The sequence below is a fragment of the Homo sapiens genome, chromosome 15, assembly GCF_000001405.40.
Source record: "Homo sapiens chromosome 15, GRCh38.p14 Primary Assembly".
Taxonomy (NCBI): domain Eukaryota; kingdom Metazoa; phylum Chordata; class Mammalia; order Primates; family Hominidae; genus Homo; species Homo sapiens.
In genome coordinates this window covers 26,447,893-26,468,037 of record NC_000015.10, presented here as the reverse complement: position 1 = coordinate 26,468,037, position 20,145 = coordinate 26,447,893, and the positions used below count along the sequence as shown (strand labels likewise).

The 20,145-nt window shown below is 41.9% G+C and overlaps 2 long non-coding RNA genes across 9 annotated transcripts in view, besides 1 other annotated feature; one reads left to right on the top strand and one right to left on the bottom strand.

Annotated features, from left to right (window-relative positions):
* Nucleotides 1-20,145, bottom strand: part of LINC02248 (long intergenic non-protein coding RNA 2248) — a 94,817-nt gene that overhangs the window by 21,836 nt on the left and 52,836 nt on the right. For 3 of the 7 annotated variants that reach the window (XR_001751454.2, XR_002957734.1, XR_001751455.1), the window contains 3 exons: nt 18,038-19,020; nt 15,849-15,920; nt 12,776-13,334 (listed from right to left, as the gene is read on the bottom strand). This is a non-coding gene — a long non-coding RNA (long intergenic non-protein coding RNA 2248). Of the gene's footprint in view, nt 1-12,775; nt 13,335-15,848; nt 15,921-18,037; nt 19,021-20,145 lie in introns of those variants that run through there. The other 4 variants (XR_001751451.2, XR_001751452.2, XR_001751453.2 and 1 more) reach the window with 4 other exon arrangements.
* LOC105370740 (uncharacterized) overlaps nt 1-20,145 on the top strand; it is a 74,705-nt gene that overhangs the window by 10,101 nt on the left and 44,459 nt on the right. Inside the window, exons 4-8 of one of the 2 annotated variants that reach the window (XR_007064791.1) lie at nt 8,459-8,698; nt 9,773-9,862; nt 11,776-11,884; nt 15,865-15,977; nt 16,171-16,319. This is a non-coding gene — a long non-coding RNA (uncharacterized LOC105370740). The remainder of the gene's footprint in view (nt 1-8,458; nt 8,699-9,772; nt 9,863-11,775; nt 11,885-15,864; nt 15,978-16,170; nt 16,320-20,145) is intronic. The other variant, XR_007064792.1, reaches the window with a different exon arrangement.
* Nucleotides 5,597-6,097: an enhancer, noted in NCBI's record as "H3K4me1 hESC enhancer chr15:26707088-26707588 (GRCh37/hg19 assembly coordinates)". NCBI's record gives its function as "activates a minimal SCP1, AML or CMV promoter by ChIP-STARR-seq in primed H9 embryonic stem cells {active_cell/tissue: H9 hESC(primed)}" and the evidence as "EXISTENCE:reporter gene assay evidence [ECO:0000049][PMID:30033119]".

Genomic DNA, 20,145 nt, shown 5'->3' with positions numbered 1-20,145 from the left:
TGTTGTAAATTGGTTTATAGATGCCAGATACTAGACCTTTGTCACATGCAGAGTTTGCAAAAATTTTCTCCCATTCTGTAGGTTGTCTGTTTACACTGTTGATACTCTCTTTTGCTGTGCAGAAGCTCTTTAGCTTAATTAGCTCCCTTTTGTCAATTTTTGCTTTTGTTGCAATTGCTTTTGGCGTCGTCATCATGAAATCTTTGCCCATTCCTGTGTCTAGAATGGTATTGCCTAGGTTTTCTTTTAGGCTCTTTTTATAGTTTCAGGTTTTACATTTGAGTCTTTAATCCATCTTGAGTTGATTTTCGTATCTGGTAAAAGAAAGGGGTCCATTTTCAACCTTCTCCATATGGCTAGCCAGTTATCCCAGCATCATTTATTGAAAAGACAGTGTTTTCCCCATTGCTTGTTTTTGTCAGCTTTCAAAGATCAGATGGTTGCGGGTGTGCGTTCTTATTTTTGAGTTCTCTATTCTGTTCTATTGATCTGTGTGTCTGTTTTTGTACCATGCTGTTTTGGTTACTGTAACACTGTAGTATATTTTGAAGCCAACTAACATGATGTCTCCAGCTTTCTTCTTTTTACTTAGGATTGCTTTGGTTATGCAGGCTCTTTTTCAGTTCCATATGAATTTTAAAATACATTTTTCTTCTTTTGTGAAGAATGTCATTGATAGTTTGATAGGAATAACATTGAATCTGTAAATTGCTTTGGGCAGTATAGCCATTTTAACAATATTGATTCTTCCTGCCCATGAGCATGGTATGTTTTTCCATTTGTTTGTGTCATCTCTGATTTCTTTGAGCAGTGTTTGTAGTTCTCCTTGTAGAGACCTTTCACCTCCCTGGTGAAAGCTCTAATTCTAGTTATTTCTGGTCTTCTGCTAGCTTTGTGTATTTCTTGTTTTCTGCTAGCAGTATTCCTTGGTATTTTATTCCTAATTTGGCTCTTGGCCTGTTTTGTTTTGTTTTTGTTTTTGTTTTTTTGTGACAGAGTCTTGTTGTCTCGCCCAAGCTGGAGTGCAGTGGTTTGATCATGGCTCACTGCCACCTCTGCCTCCAGGTCTCAAGTGTTTCTCATACCTCAGCCTCCCAAGTAGCTGGGATTACAGGCATGCACCACCATGCCTGACTAATTTTTGTATTTTTAGTAGAGATGGGTTTTTGCCATGTTGGCCAGTCTGGTCTCAAACTCCTGGCCTCAAGTGATCTGCCTACCTCAGCCTCCCAAAGTGCTGGGATTACAGGCATGAGCCACCATGCCCAGCCTTGACCTGACTGTTATTGGTGTATAGGAATGTTAGTGATTTTTGTACATTGATTTTGTATCCTAAGACTTTGCTGAAGTTGTTTATGAGCTTAAGGGGCTTTTGGGCTGAGACTATGGAGTTTTTTAGATATGTAATCATGTCATCTGCTAACAGGAATAGTCTGACTTCTTCTGTTACTATTTGGTTGCCCTTTACTCCTTTCTCTTGCCTGATTGCTCTGACCAGGGCTTCCATTACTATGTTGAGTAGGAGTGTGGTGAGAAAGGGAATTCTTGTCTTGTGCTGGTTTTCAAGGGGAATGTTTCCAACTTTTGCCCATTCAATGTGATGTTAGCTGTAAGTTTGTCATAGATGGCTCTTATTATTTTGAGGTATGTTTATTCAATACCTAGTTTATTTAGAGTTTTTAACATGAGAGGATGTTGCATTTCATCAAATGCCTTTTCTGTGTCTGTTGAGATAATCATGTGTTTTTTGTCTTTAGTTTAGTTTGTGATGAGTCACACTTATTGATTTGTGTATGTTGAATCAACCTTGCATCCCAGGAAAAAAAAAGCCTACTTTATCTTGGTGGATAAGTTTGTTTGTTTTTGAGATGGAGTCTCGCTCTGTTGCCCAGGCTGGAGTGCAGTGGTGCGATCTTGGCTCACTGCAAGCTCCACCTCCCGGGTTCACGCCATTCTCCTGCCTCAGCCTCCTGAGTGGCTGGGACTACAGGCGCCCACCACCATGCCCGGGTAATTTTTTGTATTTTTAGCAGAGATGGGGTTTCACCGTGTTGGTCAGGAAGGTCTTGATCTCCTGACCTTGTGATCTGCCCACCTTGGCCTCCCAAAGTGCTGGGATTACAGGTGTGAGCCACTGCGCCCGGCCGGATAAGTTTTTTTGATGTGCTGCTGGATTCAGTTTGCCAATATTTTGTTGGGGATTTTTGCATCAATGTTCATCAAGGATATTGGCTGGAAGATTTCCTTTTTGGTGTGTCCCTGCAAGGTTTTGGTATCAGGATGATCCTGACCTTATAGAAGAAGTTAGGGAGGAGTCTCTTCTCCTCAATTTTTTGGAATAGTTTCAGTAGGAATGGTATCAACTCTTCTTTGCACATTTGGTAGAATATGGCTGTGAATCAATCTTGTCCTAGGATTTTTGGCTGATAGGCTATTTATTACTGATTCAGTTTCAGAGTTTGTTACTGGTCTGTTCAGGGATTCAATTTCTTCCTGGCTCAGTCATAGGAAGATATACATATACAGGAATTTATCTATGTTTTTCTATATTTTCTAGTTTATGTGCATAGAAGTGTTCACAATATTCCATGATGGTTATTTGTATTTCTGTGGGGTCAGTGGTAGTGCCACCTTTTTTGTTTCTAATTGTGTTTATGTGGATCGTCTCTCTTTTCTTCTTTATTAGACTAGCTAGTGGTCTATGTATTTTATTAATTTTTTCATAAAAACAATTCCTGGATTCATTGATCTTTTGAGTAGTTTTTTGTATGTCTCAATCTCCTTCAGTTCAGCTCTGATTTTGGTTATTTCTTGTCTTCTGCTAGCTTTGGGGTTGGTTTGCTTGTGGTTCTCTAGTTTTTTTAGTTGTGATGTTAGATTGTTAAATTGAGATCTTTCTAACTTTTTGATGTGGGCATTTAGTGCTATAAATTTCCCTCTTAACACTGCTTTACCTGTGTCCCAGAGATTCTGTTATGTTGTATCTTTGTTCTCATTAGTTTCAGAAAACTTCTTGATTTCTGCCTGAATTTCATTATTTACCCAAAAGTCATTCAGGAGCAGATTATTTAATTTCCATGTAAATGTATGGTTTTGAGCACATTTCTTAGTCTTGATTTCTAATTTGTGCTGTGGTTCAAGAGATTGTTATAATTTCAGTTCTTCTGCATTTGCTGAGGAGTGTTTTGTGTTCAGTTATGTGGTCAATTTTAGAGTATGTGCCACATGGTGGTGAGAAGCATGTATATTCTGTTGCTTTTGGGTGGAGAGTTCTGTAGATGTCTATCCAGTCCATTTGATCCTGTGCTGAGGTCAGGTTCTGAATATCTTTGTTATTTTTCTGTCTTGATGATCTGTCTAATACTGTCAGTGGGGTGTTGAAGTCTCCGACTGTTAATTGTATGGGAGTCTAAGTCTCATTGAAGGTCACTAAGAACTTGCTTTATCAATCTGGGTGATCCTGTGTTGGGTGTATATATATTTAGAATACTTAGGTCTTCTTATTAAATTGAACCCTTTACGATTATGTAATGTCCTTCTTTGCCTTTTTTGATCTTTGTTGGTTTAAAGTCTGTTTTGTCTGAAATTATGATTGCAACCCCTGCCTTTTTCTGTTTTCCATTTGCTTGGTAGATTTTCCTCCATCGCTTTATTTTAAGCCCATGGGTATCATTGCATGTGAGATGTGTCTCCTGAAAACAGCATATTAATGGATCTTGGTGTTTTATCCAGCTTTCCACTCTGTGCCTTTTAATTAGGGCATGTAACCTGTTTACATTCAAGGTTCACATTGATATATGTGGATTTGTTCCTGTCGTGATGTTAGCTGGTTATTTTGCAGACTTGTTTAGATGGTTGCTTTATAGTGTCACCTGTCTGTGTACTTAAGTGTGTTTTTGTAGTGTCTGATAACAGTCTTTCATATTTACTGCTTCCTTCAGGAGCTCCTGTAAGGTAGAGCTAGTGGTAACAAATTTCCTCAGCATTTGCTTGTCTGAAAAGGATCTTGTTTCTCTTCATTTATAAAGCTTAATTTGGTCAGATATGTAATTCTGGGATGGAATTTCTTTTCTTTCAGAATGTTGATATTGACCCCCAATCTCTTCTGGCTTGTGGGGTTTCTGCTGAGAGGTCCGCTGTTAGTCTGATGGGCTTCCCTTTGTAGGTGACCTGACCTTTCTCTCTAGCTGCCTTTTAAATTTTTCTTTCTTTTGACCTTGGAGAATCTGATGATTATGTGTCTTGGGGATGATTTTCTTGTGAAGTATTTTACTGGGGTTCTTGAAATTTCCTGAATTTGAAAGTTGGCTTCTCTAGCTAAGTTGGGGGAATTTCTCATAGATAATATCCTGAAATATGCTTTCCAAGTTGCCTACACTCTCTTCATCTCTTTCAGGGACACCAGTGAGTCATAGATTTGGTCTCTTCATATAATCCCATATTTCTCACAGGGTTTGTTCATTCTTTTTACTATATTCTTGTCTGTCCTATTTCAGAAAGTCAGTCTTTCAAGATCTGAGATTCTTTCCTCAGCTTGTTCTAATCTGTTATTAATACTTGTAGTTGCATTATGAAACAGAGTCTTGCTCTCTCTGCCAGGCTAGAGTGCAGTGGCACAATCTCAGCTCACTGCAACCTCTGCCTCCTGAGCTCAAGCAATTCTCCTGCCTCAGCCTCCCAAGTAGCTGGGATTACAGGCATGTGCCACCATGCCTGGCTAATTTTTGTATTTTTAGTAGAGACAGGGTTTCACCATGTTGGCCAGGTTGGTCTCGAACTCCTGACCTCACGTAATCTGCCCACCTCAGCCTCCCAAAGTGCTGGGATTACAGGCGTGAGCCACCATGCCCGGCCGTGAAGTTCTTATGGTGTGTTTTTCAGCTCTATAAGGGCAGTTACAGCCTTTTCTATATTGGTTATTTTGTCTGTCAGCTCCTGTATTGTTTTATTGTGATTTTTAACTTCCTTGGATTGGTTTTCGATGTACTCCTGCATTTCAGTTATCTTCATTTCTATCCATATCCTTAATTCTCTTTCTGTCATTTTAGCCATCTCCACCTGGTTCAGAACCCTTGCTGGAGAGGTGGTGTAATTGTTTAGAGGAAAGAAGACACTCTGGCTTTTTGAGTTATCAGAGTTCTTGCATTGGTTCTTATCTTTGTGGGCTGATGTTTCTTCCATCTTTGAAGCTGTTGACCTTTGGATGGAATTTTTTCCCTTTTATCCTATCTGGTGACCTTGAGGATTTGATTATGGTGTAAGGTGGATTCAGCCAACTGGCTTTGTTTCTGCAAGATTTTAGGGGGCCAATGCTGAGCTCCCAACTCTTGTACTGTGTGCCCTAACTCTGGGGGACTTGTATTGGGCCCTGACTTTGTTCTCTGGCTCCTCGAGTTTGTGAATCCACTGCACTAGGGGGCCGAGGTGCTTCTGGACCATTGGTCACTACTCTGGTGGGTGGTGTCAGCCAAAATGTTTATAGTGGGGAGACAGCTGGATCTGTCCTTGTTTGCATGTGCCAGCAGCAACAGCAGTGGCAACACGGCAGGGTGCACACTCATTAACTGCAGCAGGGTGCTAGCGTGGGCCGGGGTGCCTGCCTCCATGTGGGTGTTCACCACAGTGGTGGAAGAAGCACAGCTCCGGGGTGAGGGGCCCCTGATGGTGACTGCACATGTGGTCATGTTGGTAGTGGTACTAGCAGCAGGGTGGGGCGCTGGTAGGCACAGGTCTGTGTGTGTTCTCTGTGCACCACAGTCAGGAGTGGTCACTCAGGGAAGGGGAGGGTCCACTGTTCTCTATGTCTAGTTTTAGTCCCTCAGAAATGTTGACACAAGGGTAGGATGCTGGTGGGGGTGTGGCTGGCTGGCTGTATACCTGTCAAAGCTCCACTGTTGGTTTGGTGGGGGTAGAGTGAGCGGAGTGCACTCCCACCACAGCAGTGGCAGGGCAGGGTGCACACACACACACGCACGTGCTAGTGAGACAAGGAAAGCAAATGCATCTGCACACACACGTGTTGGCATAAGTAATTTAGGGACTGGCTGTGGGTCCATGGGAAGCTTCAGTGTGGGGAGGGGGCATGCAGGATAGTGTGTGGCCATAAGGGCTGCCCCGATGGAGCTCTCCACTGGATGGGCATAGTCTACCAGGGCGCAGGAGGCATGATGCGGGTCCGCAGGGTATCCAAGGCTGCTCTGCCAGTAGGTTGGGGCCCTGGGAGAGGCCAGCAGACCAAGGGATGCTCAGATTGGACAGGTCCCATATGATGGACAAGACTGCCCTGCAGAGATGAGGTCTGACAGTTCCCCTAAGGCTAATATCTCCTATGGGAGCAAGTGGAGGCGACAGGGATGGGCTTCCTTGGCCATGCTCCACTACAGATGCTCCAGCTCCAAACCCTCTGAGCTCTGTTTCAACAGGCATGCCACCCCTACCACTTCTCTAAGCAGCTCTCTGCCAACTGGAGTGTCTGTGCTGGTCAAAGGGTCTCTTCCTGCTAAGATTCCAGAGGCTCGTGGTGAGACAGGGTTGCTCAGGGTTGCTCCTTGCCAGTCCAACTTACCCATTCCCCTAGAGTTGTTGGGGGCCAGGGATGAGTCTGCAGGCTGCACAGGAAGCATTGTTGAGGAGGCCTCAGGAAACTTAAAATCATGGGGGAAAATAAAGGGGAAGCAGACACATCTTACATGGCCAGAGAAGAAGAAGACAGAGCAGAGGGAGGTGCTACACGTTTGTAAACAACCAGATCACAACAGAACTCGCTCACTATCAGGAGAACAGCAAGGGGAAAGTCCACCCCCATGATCTAATTACCTCCCACCAGGCTCCTCCTCCAACATGGGGGATTACAATTTGACATAAGATTTGGGCAATGACTCAAATCCAAACCATATCAGAAATCACGAAAGGTCTCCTGCTTTCTTTATTAAAACACCTCAGCAAGAGGGAGATGAAAGAATCTGAGGTGTTGCCAGTCCTGCCTTCTGTGTCAGTGTCAGTGGGACTTTCCTGGCTACACCTTTGCTTGGCATTGCCCGTTCACTCACCCATTCATTCATTCCTTTTGCAAATTGTTATGTGGTACGTCCCAATACACCATGTTTTAGGGGCTGACACTGCAAATAAGCAGTGTATAAAACAAAATCCTGGGGTCCCCATTTTAGTCACTGAAAGCCAGCTGATGAGCAGACAGGGAGGGAGGGATGAACAGGAGGAGCAGAGAGGATTGCGGGGGCTATGAGACTGCTTTATATGATACTACAGTGGCGGGTACCCGTGATGATGTACTTGTCCAAACACATAGAATGCACAACACCAAGAGTGAGCCTTAATGTAAGCCATGAACTCTGGGTGACAATGATCTGTCAATGCAGGTTCTTTCATTGGAGCCAATGTGCCACTGCAGTGCAGGATGTTGACTGGGGGAGGGCCATGTATGTGTAGGGGTAGTGGGCAGATGGGAACCTGTGGTACCTTTTGCTCAAATTTGCTGTGAACCTAAAACTGCTCTAAAAAATAAAGTATATGAAAAGAAAACATAAGAAGAAAGGCATAGGATAGTGATAGGAATTCTCCAGATAACTGAGTAGGGTGAGGTGCTGGACAGGGGATGTGTCTGGACCTGGACTACTTTCAAGATCTCTGTGCACACTTGGCTGCATGACTTTGCTGACACAGTTCAGCTGCACAACACGCCACCTACCCTTCTACAGAGGTCAGCAACCTGGGAGAGGACCCAGTCAGTTCTGGGGAGTGAAATGCCAAGACTGTTTGATGGGCATTCCAGGAGAGTGTATATTGTGTTGTTAACTAGAATGGAAACGATTTAGAGCTGCCAGGGGTCTTGGACAATAGCTTATCCAAACTCCTCATTTACAGAGATTTTATGGACCCTTCAACATCACTAAAACACTATTGGAGCCTCACAAGCTTATAAAATCCAAAGGACAACTGGGTAATTCTATATAGACATTGTTAAATTTTTGATCTAAAAGGAAAAAGCTGAGGTAAAATTAATAGAAGTAGAGGGCAGGGCACAGTGGTTCACAACTGTGATCTCAGCACTTTGGGAGGCTGAGGCAGGAGGATTGCCTGAGGTTAGGAGTTTGAAACCAGCCTGTACAACACGGTGAGACCCTGTCTCTACCAAATCAAAAAAAAATTAGCCAGGTGTGGTGGCGCATGCCTGTAGTTCCAGCTACTCAGGAGGCTGAGGTGGGAGGACTGCTTGAGTCCAGAAATTTGAGATAACAGTGAAGTGTGGGTCATTGTGTTTGGTGCAGCATTATTCGGTTAATTTCTAGCTACCTGTGGCAATAGTAAGTAGTTGCAAGAAATGAATACATAGCTCATGGGTTAAGTAGGATGTGATTGTTATCTCATTTTACGTCTCTCTTGGCCTGATAATTTAAAAGGATTCATATTCCTCGAATAAAAGTTATCTCCTTTTCTCAAGATCAATGGTCCCTACTTGCACCTATCAAACTGGCCATGCCCATGCCCATTCTGGGCCCATATGGAAGCTCTCTTTGCACCTTTTGGTTGACCTCTGAGGAGCAGCTTGGATACCTTCTTCCCCTTAACACTGTAGAGGCTCTCTGCAACAGAACTCCCTACATCTCACAGCACCAGCCTCCGTTCTCCTACCAAGTGTGATTTGTGTGTCTAGCCTTCTCTAGGACTTCTGCCAGATTGGGTGAGTCCAAAAAATACTGACCTTCTTAACATCTCTTTGTAAAAACAGCTTTCATTTCTCTGTTTTTATATTTCTTTTACTTTCCTCCTCTTCCTCCTCTTTCTTCTTTTCCTTTTTTTAGAGACAGGGTCTTGTTCTGTTTTCTAGGCTGGAGTGCAGTGGCATGGTCATAGCTCACTGCAGCCTCAAACTCCTGGGCTCAAACCATCCTCCTGCCCCAGCCTCCCAAGTAGCTGGATCTACAGGTGCTTGCCACCATACTCAGCTAAATTTAAAAAGAAGTCTTTTTTAGAGGTGGACTCTTGTATTGTTGCCCACACTGATCTCAAACTCCTGGCTTCAAATGATCCTCTTGCATCAGCCTCCCAAAGCTCTGGGATTACAGGTGTATGCCATCACACTGGGCCTGTTTTTCATATTTCAAAGACACAAAGCCACCCCAGTAGAAAGAAGGTAGGGATTTGAGTGAGATCTTTGTGATTGTTATGTGCTCCCCTGAACTAAATTCAAGCGTGCACAAGTCCATGTCTTCTCTGAAGAACTGAATCCATAATGGTAAATATTCTACACACAATACACCTTGTATGCAAGTAGGCATGCATGAGCACATCATCTTTAAATAATGAGATTCAGAAAATATGATTTAGTATAGAGTTTATCTGAGGGCAATACTTGAGGAGAGCCACCTGGAAACACTAACTCCACATGAATGGTGTTAGCATTCTAAAGTGGAGAAGTTAGTTTCACCTAGATAGAAATATTATTAGCAGGATTAGAACATTTTCCAGACAAGACTAGTGCATATACTGTAGCAATTGATTGCTTACAGATTGCTATATTCCAGGGAAGATTATTCCTCCATGAGGAGGAACAGTGATCCAAGAGGGTCTTACCTCTGGCACTGTTTGATCTTAATAAGTTATAGAAAAAAAAAGGAGTTGCTGCTCCCTGCTATGTGACTCAGTCTGCATAGCCACATTCCTCTCAAGGCTCAGAATAATTTAAAATTCCAACATCTTAAAGTTTAAATTATTTAATTTCACAAATGGTATATTTATGTCTTTTCACCCTTAGCCTCTCTTCAGGTACAGCTAGGAGAGCCACATTCAAAACCAAGAAGAGAAAGGAGTCATAGAGCCACAGCCAGAATGTTTAGGATCCAAGGTACGAGAACATGCCAAAATGCATCAAAATCTAGCAAGGTCAGGTGGTAGAACCTTACAAATACATAAATGCTCAATGCACACTTCAAACCTTTAGGTAATTGCTTAAGAATAGTTAATAATTGTGCTTGGTATTCCATCATTTGATTTCCCAAGTAGATTACAAATTCCTGGAGGGCGAGCTGACCTCCGGGAAGCCAGGCTCAGCAGTGGGTTCTCCCTTCAGTACACCCAATGCCAACCGAAAGTTTGGGCATGAAAGGAAGTGTGGACTCCCAACCCAGTTAAATGAAGATTTCTTTAATTTTGAGCTCAAATATAGACATATAGGAGTGGAGGATATGATATATAACACCTTTTAAGATTTGAATTTTTGTTACTAAAACACCAGGGGTTAGGTCCAGGTCTCTTTGCTCCCTGCATGGAAAGACAATCTCTGAGATGACAAATATTGTCCAGGAAGAAAGCACTATTTGAGTAGTGTTAGCCAAGAAGACAAGAGATAATTCTCAAACCTGTCCCGCCAGCTGACTAACACTGGGGTTTAATATAGTGCACAGGAATGTAACTACATGCAGAAAAACAGAAATTAGGGAGGCATGAGGAAACAATCATGAAGGATGAGGGGTCTGGTGTCTTAGAGCCTGGATGTGTTCATCTAGTGAGTTTCAGTTCCTTGCCCAAGAAAGGAACTCAGATAAGACAAATGTAAGTTTCAAGTTTTAAGATCAGAGGATCAATTTCTGTTTATTCAAAAGAACCATCCAAACCTGGTAAACATCATTTCCATGGGGAAACTGGGATGGTTTCATTTTGAGATCAGTAATATCGACACCAATACTCCTGAGAATGGTCCAAGGAGCATCTGAGTCAATGTGCCTGGGAAGTAATAAATGACATAGATTTTTGGGTCATGTGCTCACCTAATGCTGCAGAATGTGGAGTCAGGCCTTGGGAGACTCCCTGCTCACAAGGATACCAAGTGATTTTTAAGCAAATCCTATTCTGAAACACAAGTAGCTGCTGTCAGTCAAATGGGACATCCACCTGAAATGAGGATGGCCTTTTGATGTCGGGTGATGTGCCTTGGGGCTTGCAGGATTTGAGGAGACAGAGGAAGGGTGCAGCTTTCCAGTGTCTCAGGCTGAAGTTCAGAGGCCGAGATGTGAAAGGACACAGTGGAGGCCACTGTTTTTCCTATTTCTACGTTTAGGGTTCACCTGGTTTTAAGGAAGCTTCTAGCTGCTCTGGCTCTGACTTTGAAAGAACATTTGGTTGAAATGCAAATGCCCTAGCCCAGGCAGCCACCACAGCATTTCTATAAGAAAACAAGCTGTTCACAACTGTGTCAGACCTGTGAGCTCACATGATGTTTTTCCTCTGTGCCTTAAAAATAATTTCCAAAATTAGCTTTGGATCTTTAAACTGAGATGTAATGGTTATCTCACAATGAGAAAAGTGTTCATATTTCTCTTTGTAAAACCACTTCTGAGTCTGCCTTTTGATTCAGTGGGGATATCGCCACCTAGACCCATGCTCTGAAAACTCCCACGGTAATAGGCAGAAATGCTTCTTTTGGCTCACACAGGCAAATATAATCCCAGTAAACAAATAACTTTTAAAAAAGCATTCATATTATACTTTACACAGCACGGTGAATATATTTAATTTCAAAAGTGAAGACTTTACAAATATTTGTCAATACTGACAAATAACTTATGTCAGTATTGGGTTTGGGTGTGTTTGGCTGAGACATCCAGAATAAAAGAGCTGATAGGAAGTGGAATTTCTTTTTTTTTTTTTTTTCCACTTTAAAGAAGCCCAGGGTAAGCAGTAAGTTCCCCAGGGGCCCTTGCTCCCTTCCGCCAGCCACTCTGCCTGCCTTAGCTGGGGCTCTTAATCTTGTGCTCCAAGGTGGCTGCCAGGACTCCAGATGTCACATCCCTTTCCCAAGCAGCAGGATGGAGAGAGAAAGAGAGAAGGTCGTCCAGTCTCTCTTTGAAAAGACTTCCTGGAAGAATTGGTAAGATTTCTACTTACATCTCTGTTGGCCACATACCTGGACACAAGGCCACACCAGCCTCAAGTCAGCTGGGAAGTGAGGGCTCTGTCCAGAGGAGAACATCACAGCCAAGCCCCTCATTCATTTCTGACTCAGAACAGGAGAATGAATATTGGGTGACAAGTAACCTGGCATGCCTCCCGTGTTATCACCCTGAGCTAGGACAATGAGAGACATGTGATTCTGAGATAGGAAGTTGGCAGGACTGTTTTACAAGACCTAGCTCAAAAAACAAACAAACCAAAAAAACAAAAAAAACCTGATAAAACAGGATGCAGTAAAGAAGCCAGCCAAAACCCACCAAAACCAAGATGGCCACAAAAGCAACCTCTGGTTGTCCTCACTGCTCATTATATGCTAATTATAATACGTTAACTTGCTCAAAGAAACTCCTACCAATGCCATGGCAATTTACAAATGCGATGGTAGCATCAAGAATTACCCTATATAGTCTGAAAGGGGGAGGAAACATTAGTTCCCATAACTGTCCTCCCATTCCCCCAAAACTCATGAATAATCCACCCCTTGTTTAGCATATAATCAAGAAATAACCATAGAAAAAGCCAACCAGCAGCACTCAGGGCTGCTCTGCCTATGGCATAGCCACCCTGTTATTCCTTTACTTTCTTAGTAAACTTGCTTTCTCTTCACTCTGTTGGCTGGCTGTCGAATTCCTGCCCGCACAAAGCCGAGAACCCACATGGCCTCCCAGGCTCAGTCTCAATTTTTGAGTTGGCCCTGTGGCACTTCATTGTCATGAGGAAAGTATTACTTTTATGAAGACCTGTGATCTTGGCCTCTGTGTTAGACTACTGCAGGTTTCAAGGATCAGATATGTCTTCAGGTAACCTCTAGTGAGCACTTCTTTTTAAATAAGAGGACACAGAAAATGAAGTGAAGGAAAGCCTCTAAACAGCCAAAATATTTATCATATTCATTTCCTGAGAAACTATTGAGTGCTTACCTTACACTAGGGACAGCATCAGTTATTTAGGCATGAGTCCAGTCATCTCAGAGAGTGCAGGGTTGAAAGGTATATGTGTGTATAGATGGCAGATATAATGCAATGGTGCACCCATTAGGCCAGAGGAAGTCTGTAGGAGGATCAGGAGGGACAGTTCCATTAGTCTTCACAGGGAGCATATATCCTTTCTTTGAGCTGCGGTGTACGGTGTACGGAGAGGTATTATATGAAGAGAGGCCATGCAACAGTTCTGCCAAAGTGGAGTAGGGCTCAGGTATGGTCTCATGAGTGGTGCGAGGTCAGAGATAACCAGGTCCATGCAGGCTTGTGTTGTTCCACAGTGTCAACCTTTTATTGATGCTATTTCAATCACAAAAGCCACGAACTTCATGGAGTTCCCAAGCAGACAGTTCTCGTTAGTACTTCCCATTCACTCGGTAGTCAGAGCTGCGGGGACACAGGTTCAAGCCACTCCATAAGTCAGTCAATATTGCAAACCATACATAATAGTATACTTAATCAATATATAAACGTTACAGATTAAACATTCCACAACAAACAAAGTCACATTTAGCGTTAAGAAAAGATAGGAAAAAGGGTTAACAAGGCAGTACAGGGAGAGTGACAAAAAGATTAAAAGAATCTCCCCGTCTGGCCTCAGCAATTCGTCTTGCAAGGAAGAGTCTTCGATGTGGGCAGATGTTGGGTGCTTATCACAAGTGACAGCAAGACGATGTCAATTAACGTGACCGTTTTGAACAGCTGAAGTCCTGCTCTTTTTTTGGCCAGAGTCCTCTGGGGAGGGCCAATAGTGGAAGAGTGTGTTTATATCCTTATCTGGTTGGATGCAATCTTTATTAGGCAAACTCTCCATTGCAGTGTGTCCTATGAACTGTAAGATGATGGAACCACTTATGTCAAGGGTGCTCTATATACATGGTTATCTAAAGCCTCTGCAGACACACATCATGTGGCTGGGGGAGCTGGTCTTTCACTGCCCTCAAGGCAGGCACTGGTGGGTCTGTGCCTGTCTCGCCACCTCATTCTCCCTCTGTCCTTGGTGCTGATCCTCTGGCTGCTTCTGCTGAGGGTGCTGGTTCTGGTTTTGCTGTGCCAGCTGCTTAGGGTATATAGCAGTGCTTGGTGGCCCAGGAGCAGAATTCTTCCCCAGTCTGCACTCCCCACTCTCAACGTCTCCTCCTCCTGTCCTCCCTTGAACCACTCCATGTGGGTTAGCCCCACCAGTCCACCAAAACTGGCCTTGTCGTGGCAAACAATGACCTCCATATTTCCCAACCCAGCAGCCTTCCTCCTACTTGATCTTTGGGGAGCGCCTGGCCCAGGTGACCCCCACAATCGCCTCTCCAATATCCACATTGGCGTGGTTCTTTCCCTCGTCGTCTTCGGGTCTCTGCTTGAATGTCACTCAACCTGAGCACCTCTGACTGCTTAGCTTCCTTTCTCGATGATTGCCCGTCCTGGCTGCTATCACAGGGCATATTGGATACCGTCTCTCTTTCCCACCACCACGAGAGCAGAGACTGTCTTTCCTTCTCACTGCTGTACCTCTGAACCCAGTGTGGTGCTCTGCACCCGGCACTCATCTGAGACACATTTACTGGCTGCATAGATTCTATGGGGTGGGGCTGAAGGGACTGGAGGTGTCATGCACCTCGAGTCTCTTAGATTTCTCTCTCCACCACAACCATGGCATAGTGGTTTTAAGTGTCAACTTTTCTTAGTGGCTGCCTATTGGGCAACTTAATAAGCGCATTCAATCAGATGAGCGCTGTCCCTCCCGAGGGTCAACATGGTCAGACACAGGTACCCTAGTTCCACTGGGGCAGCTGAGAGGACTTTAGAGCCCTGGTCATATTTAATGGTGGCAAATATGTGAGCTTCTAAGAGCATAGTACACATTTAGAGACAGAAAAATGAGTTTTGAAATTACGCTGTTCAATCCGAATCATTTTTTTTCTTTACTCAAACATAATCTGGAAATAAATGACTGAGACCAGTTGTTTTATGTGCAGCATATGCACTGGGTTAGATGGTAATTATACAAGTGGTCCTCTGAAAATGGTGTAAATAGAGGCAGCAATTTCACGGCAGGTACACAGCCTTAAAGAGGACTACCTTAACGGACTTCCCGATTTGTTTATATGCCTAAAATTAGATTGTAAATAATTTATGAAAAAATAAACTGCTTCATAGCTGAACCTAATATACATTTTACTGTCATCTCTAGATCTTATGATATTCCCAATTCTACCTAGCACTGCTACAGATCTTTACATGATATGAGTTGTTAGAAAAAAATATTTTCCTTAAGGGCCTAACATAAAACCAAGAGTGATGTTGGCAGTAAAGGACAAGGTAATGGGTATGTTAGTGTGAGTAATAACTTTTTGGAAAATAAAAATATCAACATTTTCAAAATAGAATTCAGTGACTTGTATACTTCATCTTTATCATTATTCTCTACCCTTATCCACTCTTAATGTTGTTCAGGGTCAATGACAATATTTTGAAAACTACATTAGGAAAAAAATCCAACTCTCTCAAGTAGATAATAAAAGCACTCAGCTGTGTTTAAAATACCATATGTAAAATATCTTTAAAGAGCAGTCATCGATAATGAAAAACTCTCCAGTTAATATAAAGTCAAAATTAGTTTTTTTCCATCTCAATTTAGAAAATTAATGAAATAGTATTACAATAAAATCTCTCATCTGCTTTTTCTCAGGTATAATGATAGATTTTTAAAAATTCCTCTGTTTATAAACATAATGAGAGCTGTTCACTAAACCAAAGTCGTCTTTACAAAAGGGGTATCCTGACTAAGTCAATTTGCAAAGCAGATGAATCTTTCTGTTGGTCCCAGATCCTTGTCCTATTTTTCACTTGAGATTAACTGGCAAGGAGTTGTTGTGACATCTTGAATTACTAAAGCCATCTTACCTGTCCAAATTGACAGCACATCTGCAGATGTTCCGTGGAGCATCATCACCAAAAATGCACACGAAACTGCCACTAGAAGCAAATGGAGGAAGCACACAGCAGGACTGGGTGTCTTTAATTGCCATTGCGGTGAGAGGTTTATTTGCTCTTTTAAACAATTAATTCTAACGTGTACTTGAGTCGCTAGTAACTAATATCTGTATAGGTAGAAATACTTTAAATAAATGGCAATGATCATACTGGAATGCACAAATAACAGGCTATTTGACCTGGAAGGAGAGTTTCATAGTCATTGAATCTAATATGCTTATTTGACTAACAGAACGTGTGTCCATCTGCACCACGTGAATGATTTGCGGCACAGCCGGGACCTGGCTCAGTTCTCTTGACACATACATCAACTCACAAGCACTGAAGTGGCAAGGCTGTTTGCAGAAGACATTTAAGGCAAAAATAGATTGCATCTTAAAAGTGAGTGAACTCCTTTATATGGGATAATCTAGGCACTGATATCTTTCCTTCCTAATCATAGCAAAATCTATCTTATTTATTATTTCAGCTAAAGGAAAGGAAAAATTGAGATTTGTGTTTTAAACCATACCTAGATAGATGATATCACTGCTGCTGTGAAAAATATTTTCAAGTCAGTGATTTGTTACTTAATTTTGGAAATTAGTAAAAACCCTGCAAGTCATTTTTTTTTTTAGCATTGTTCTTAGTTTTCCAATCTGCCCTTGAGGTCTTGCCTTTAATCATTAAGTATGTATGTTAGAGTTTGCTGCAAGAACATTGAAACTTCAAATTTGTTTAAATTAACAAATTCAAGGCCAACTAGTCAGTAGATAGAATGATGAGGTGAGAGTTGGTGGCCATCCCAAGCTCTGTGTTAACCAGGACCAAATCATTTAACCACTTCCTTGGCACTTCTATTTGTTAGGTGAGAATTAATTGATTCATTTATTCAGTTGTTTTGTACGCTGGAAGAAATGCTTCATTCATTTATTTCATTTATTCTTTAAGTGTCCAAGTGATGTATCAAATACTGGTGATTAAAAGAAATTGCACAAAATAAGACTTTTAAGCTGAGGAGCTCAGAGTTTACTAGAAGCGACACACATATAAAAAGATGAAACACAGACTAACACATACCCGGCAAGATAAGAACCAAGTACAGAGTGCTGGAACAGAGGGTACCGTGTCTGTTTAGGTGGCTGCAAAGATCTCCAGGACGTACCCAGGTGCAGAAGCCATGCAGGCATGAAGCCTGAGGGTTGCATCTATGGTAACAGCAGTACAGTGCTATCTCCAAGGAACAGGAGGACATTCTGAGAGAGGACAATGTAGAGTTTGGTGGTACAACGGCAGTGGATGACATGGGATAGAATAAGATGAGATAGAAATTTTGTGACAGGCCAGGTGCGGTGGCTCACGCCTGTAATCCCAGCACTTTGGGAGGCCAAGGCAGGCGGATCACAAGGTTAGGAGTTTGAGACCAGCCTAGCCAATATGGTGAAACCCTGTCTGTACTAAATGTACAAAAATTAGCTGGGTGTGGTGGTGGACACCTGTAGTCCCAGCTACTCGGGAGGCTGAGGCAGGAGAATTGCTTGAACCCGGGAGGCGGAGGTTGCAGTGAGCCAAGATCGCACCACTGCACTCCAGCCTGGGCAACAGAGCAAGACACTGTATCAAAAAAAAAAAAAAAAAAAAAAAAAGAAAGAAAGAAAGAAAAGAGAAGAAATGTGACAGAAAGTGACTAGCTTTGTTTGCCAAATTAAGGAAACAAAAGTTTAAGGAGAAAAATAAGTCTCTGGAAGATAATCTTCAATTGCTCTGTGATCTCAAGCTGGACATTTTTCCATAAATGCAAAGTATTCATAGTTTAGTACAAAGCATTATGTAGAATCTAGATAAAGCAAATCAATCAGAAAATATTTAATAAACCAATGTACAGTGATAATTGATGTTTGGAATATTGCACTTGGACACCAGAAGCATGCACCTTATGAATCAAAACCAGTGTAACCTTCAAGGGCTTAGGTATGAATTCATTGCTTTTGTAATTCTAATTCTTTGCTAACCAGTGTTTCCTTTTATATTCTTGATGATTGGCTAATATTCTTGTTAACCAGAAAATCAAACCAAGCTCACCATCCCAATTCTTAACAGATAGATAATAAGGAACTTACCATAACTAACTTTAAAAAGAATATTACAAAGGAAATTTCCAAGTTTGACTGAGGTTTTCTTGGTCTCTTTGTACATTCACTTGAAGGAGGAAAATATATAGAATAATCAATGACGATAGAAGCCAGGGGTATAAATAACAACAACTGATAAGGAATCTTTACAAACAAATCTCCAGGAGGCAGGCTTGTTGACATTTGCTGTCACTTATAATGAGCCACAGATTGCTATTGTTGACACATGGGAACAATACAAAAATGTTTGTTAGCACCAGTGGAATGTGGAGAATGACACCTAAATTATGCTGAATATGATTTTATTCTTAATGTCTGAGGCAAACTAAAAGTTAGAGGTAACTATCTGCTGCATCTGAAGAGATAAGAAAGCGACAGAGCTGAGGCTGGTCTCCAGACGGGGTTATGGTTATGGTTTTAACACACCACTCTCCGCTACAATAGGATCAGTGTGATGATTTCAGTTCATTGGAAGGTGAAGCAAGGAGGGCCCAGACAGCAAGGCATTCCATTCCAGTGAATAGGAGAGTCAGGGAACTTAAAAACGGGTTCTCAGAGTTGCTCAGCAAACCAACCTCTGTGACCTATGGCGAGAACCGTGCTATTAACATCTATACAAAGGAGCTGCTCAATCAGCATTTCCTGAGTGAATTAATAGTGATAGAATGAGTCAACGTAGAAGAAGGAAAGAGTAATCAAGAAGTTCCACATCTTTATTATAAAGTATAGAGCTACCAATATTCGGTTCTTTTTGCTAATGAGAATATAAATTAGTGGGTGAAAAAAATTTTAAAGTTCTTCAAATTATTTCAGGTTTCTTCTCTACCTGAAATTTTTCCACAAAGGAATAAAGAAAGCAAAATAATATTTACTGACCACCAAGCAATGTATGTGCATCGGGTAACTGGAGTCCCAGCAGGCCCACTGGGTAGATATGCCATCCTTATGAATAGATTAGGAATATCAGCCTCCTAGGACAATAAAAACAAGCTCATGATATCACATATTATAACCTCTAGTATGAAAATTCAAATCCTCTGGCCCGAAGCTATAGTCTTCATATTTTATGAAATGGGTACTGTCTGCCTCATAAAAGGAAGACTAATAATATAGCACAAGGTGTGAAGTCTACTAGGATTGGCAGAGAAGCATATATGTGACAACAAATTATTGAGTGATCTATGGCATAACACAATTCTGCATTGTGATTTCAAGTTAATCTATAATGATCACTTTTTTAAATTGGTAAAAATGTTCTACAAAAAAAAAAGTATTAGAACTTTTCCCAATTTTAATTCCTCACGAATAATTGTGTCTGTGTTGTTAAATGTTCAAGACTGTCTGCAACTTTTATAATTAATTCAAGGACAGTAGATTAATGTTGAGTTGCTTGGCAAATTCATGCCAAATTTTATAACGGCTTAAAAGCAAAAGTAGTTTATTTCTCACTCCCTTAAAAGTACAAAAATGGGGCCAGGGCACGGTGGCTCATGCCTGTAATCCCAGCACTTTGGGAGGCTGAGGCAGGTGGATCACGAGGTCCAGAGATCGAGACCATCCTGGCTAACACGGTGAAACCCTGTCTCTACTAAAAATACAAAAAATTAGCTGGGCTTGGTGGCGGGCACCTGTAGTCTCAGCTACTCGGGAGGCTGAAGCAGGAGAATGGCATGAACCTGGGAGGCGGAGGTTGCAGTGAGCCGAGATCGCGCCACTGCACTCCAGCCTGGGCAATGGAGCAAGACTCCATCTCAAAAAATAAATAAATAAAAATTTTTAAAAAGTACAAAAATGGATGCTTCTGTTTGGAGGACAGCTTCCCTTCAACCAGTGTTTGCAGTGATTCATACCTCTTTCACTGTGTGGCTCGGCCATAACACTTGTTTTTTATGCCTTGTGCTTACAGAGTTGCACCATTAGTAGCTTAATTCTTAATTTCTAATTGCATTGAGGCTTACAAATTTTTTTATGCTTTTTAGTAGACAGAGTAAAACTACAAAACCTTCCAAAAGCTATGCAGGCTCCATATTCACTGAATTATAAAAAGAAACTTGTTAAAGGCATAAAAGAAGAGCTATAATTGGAGACATATCACA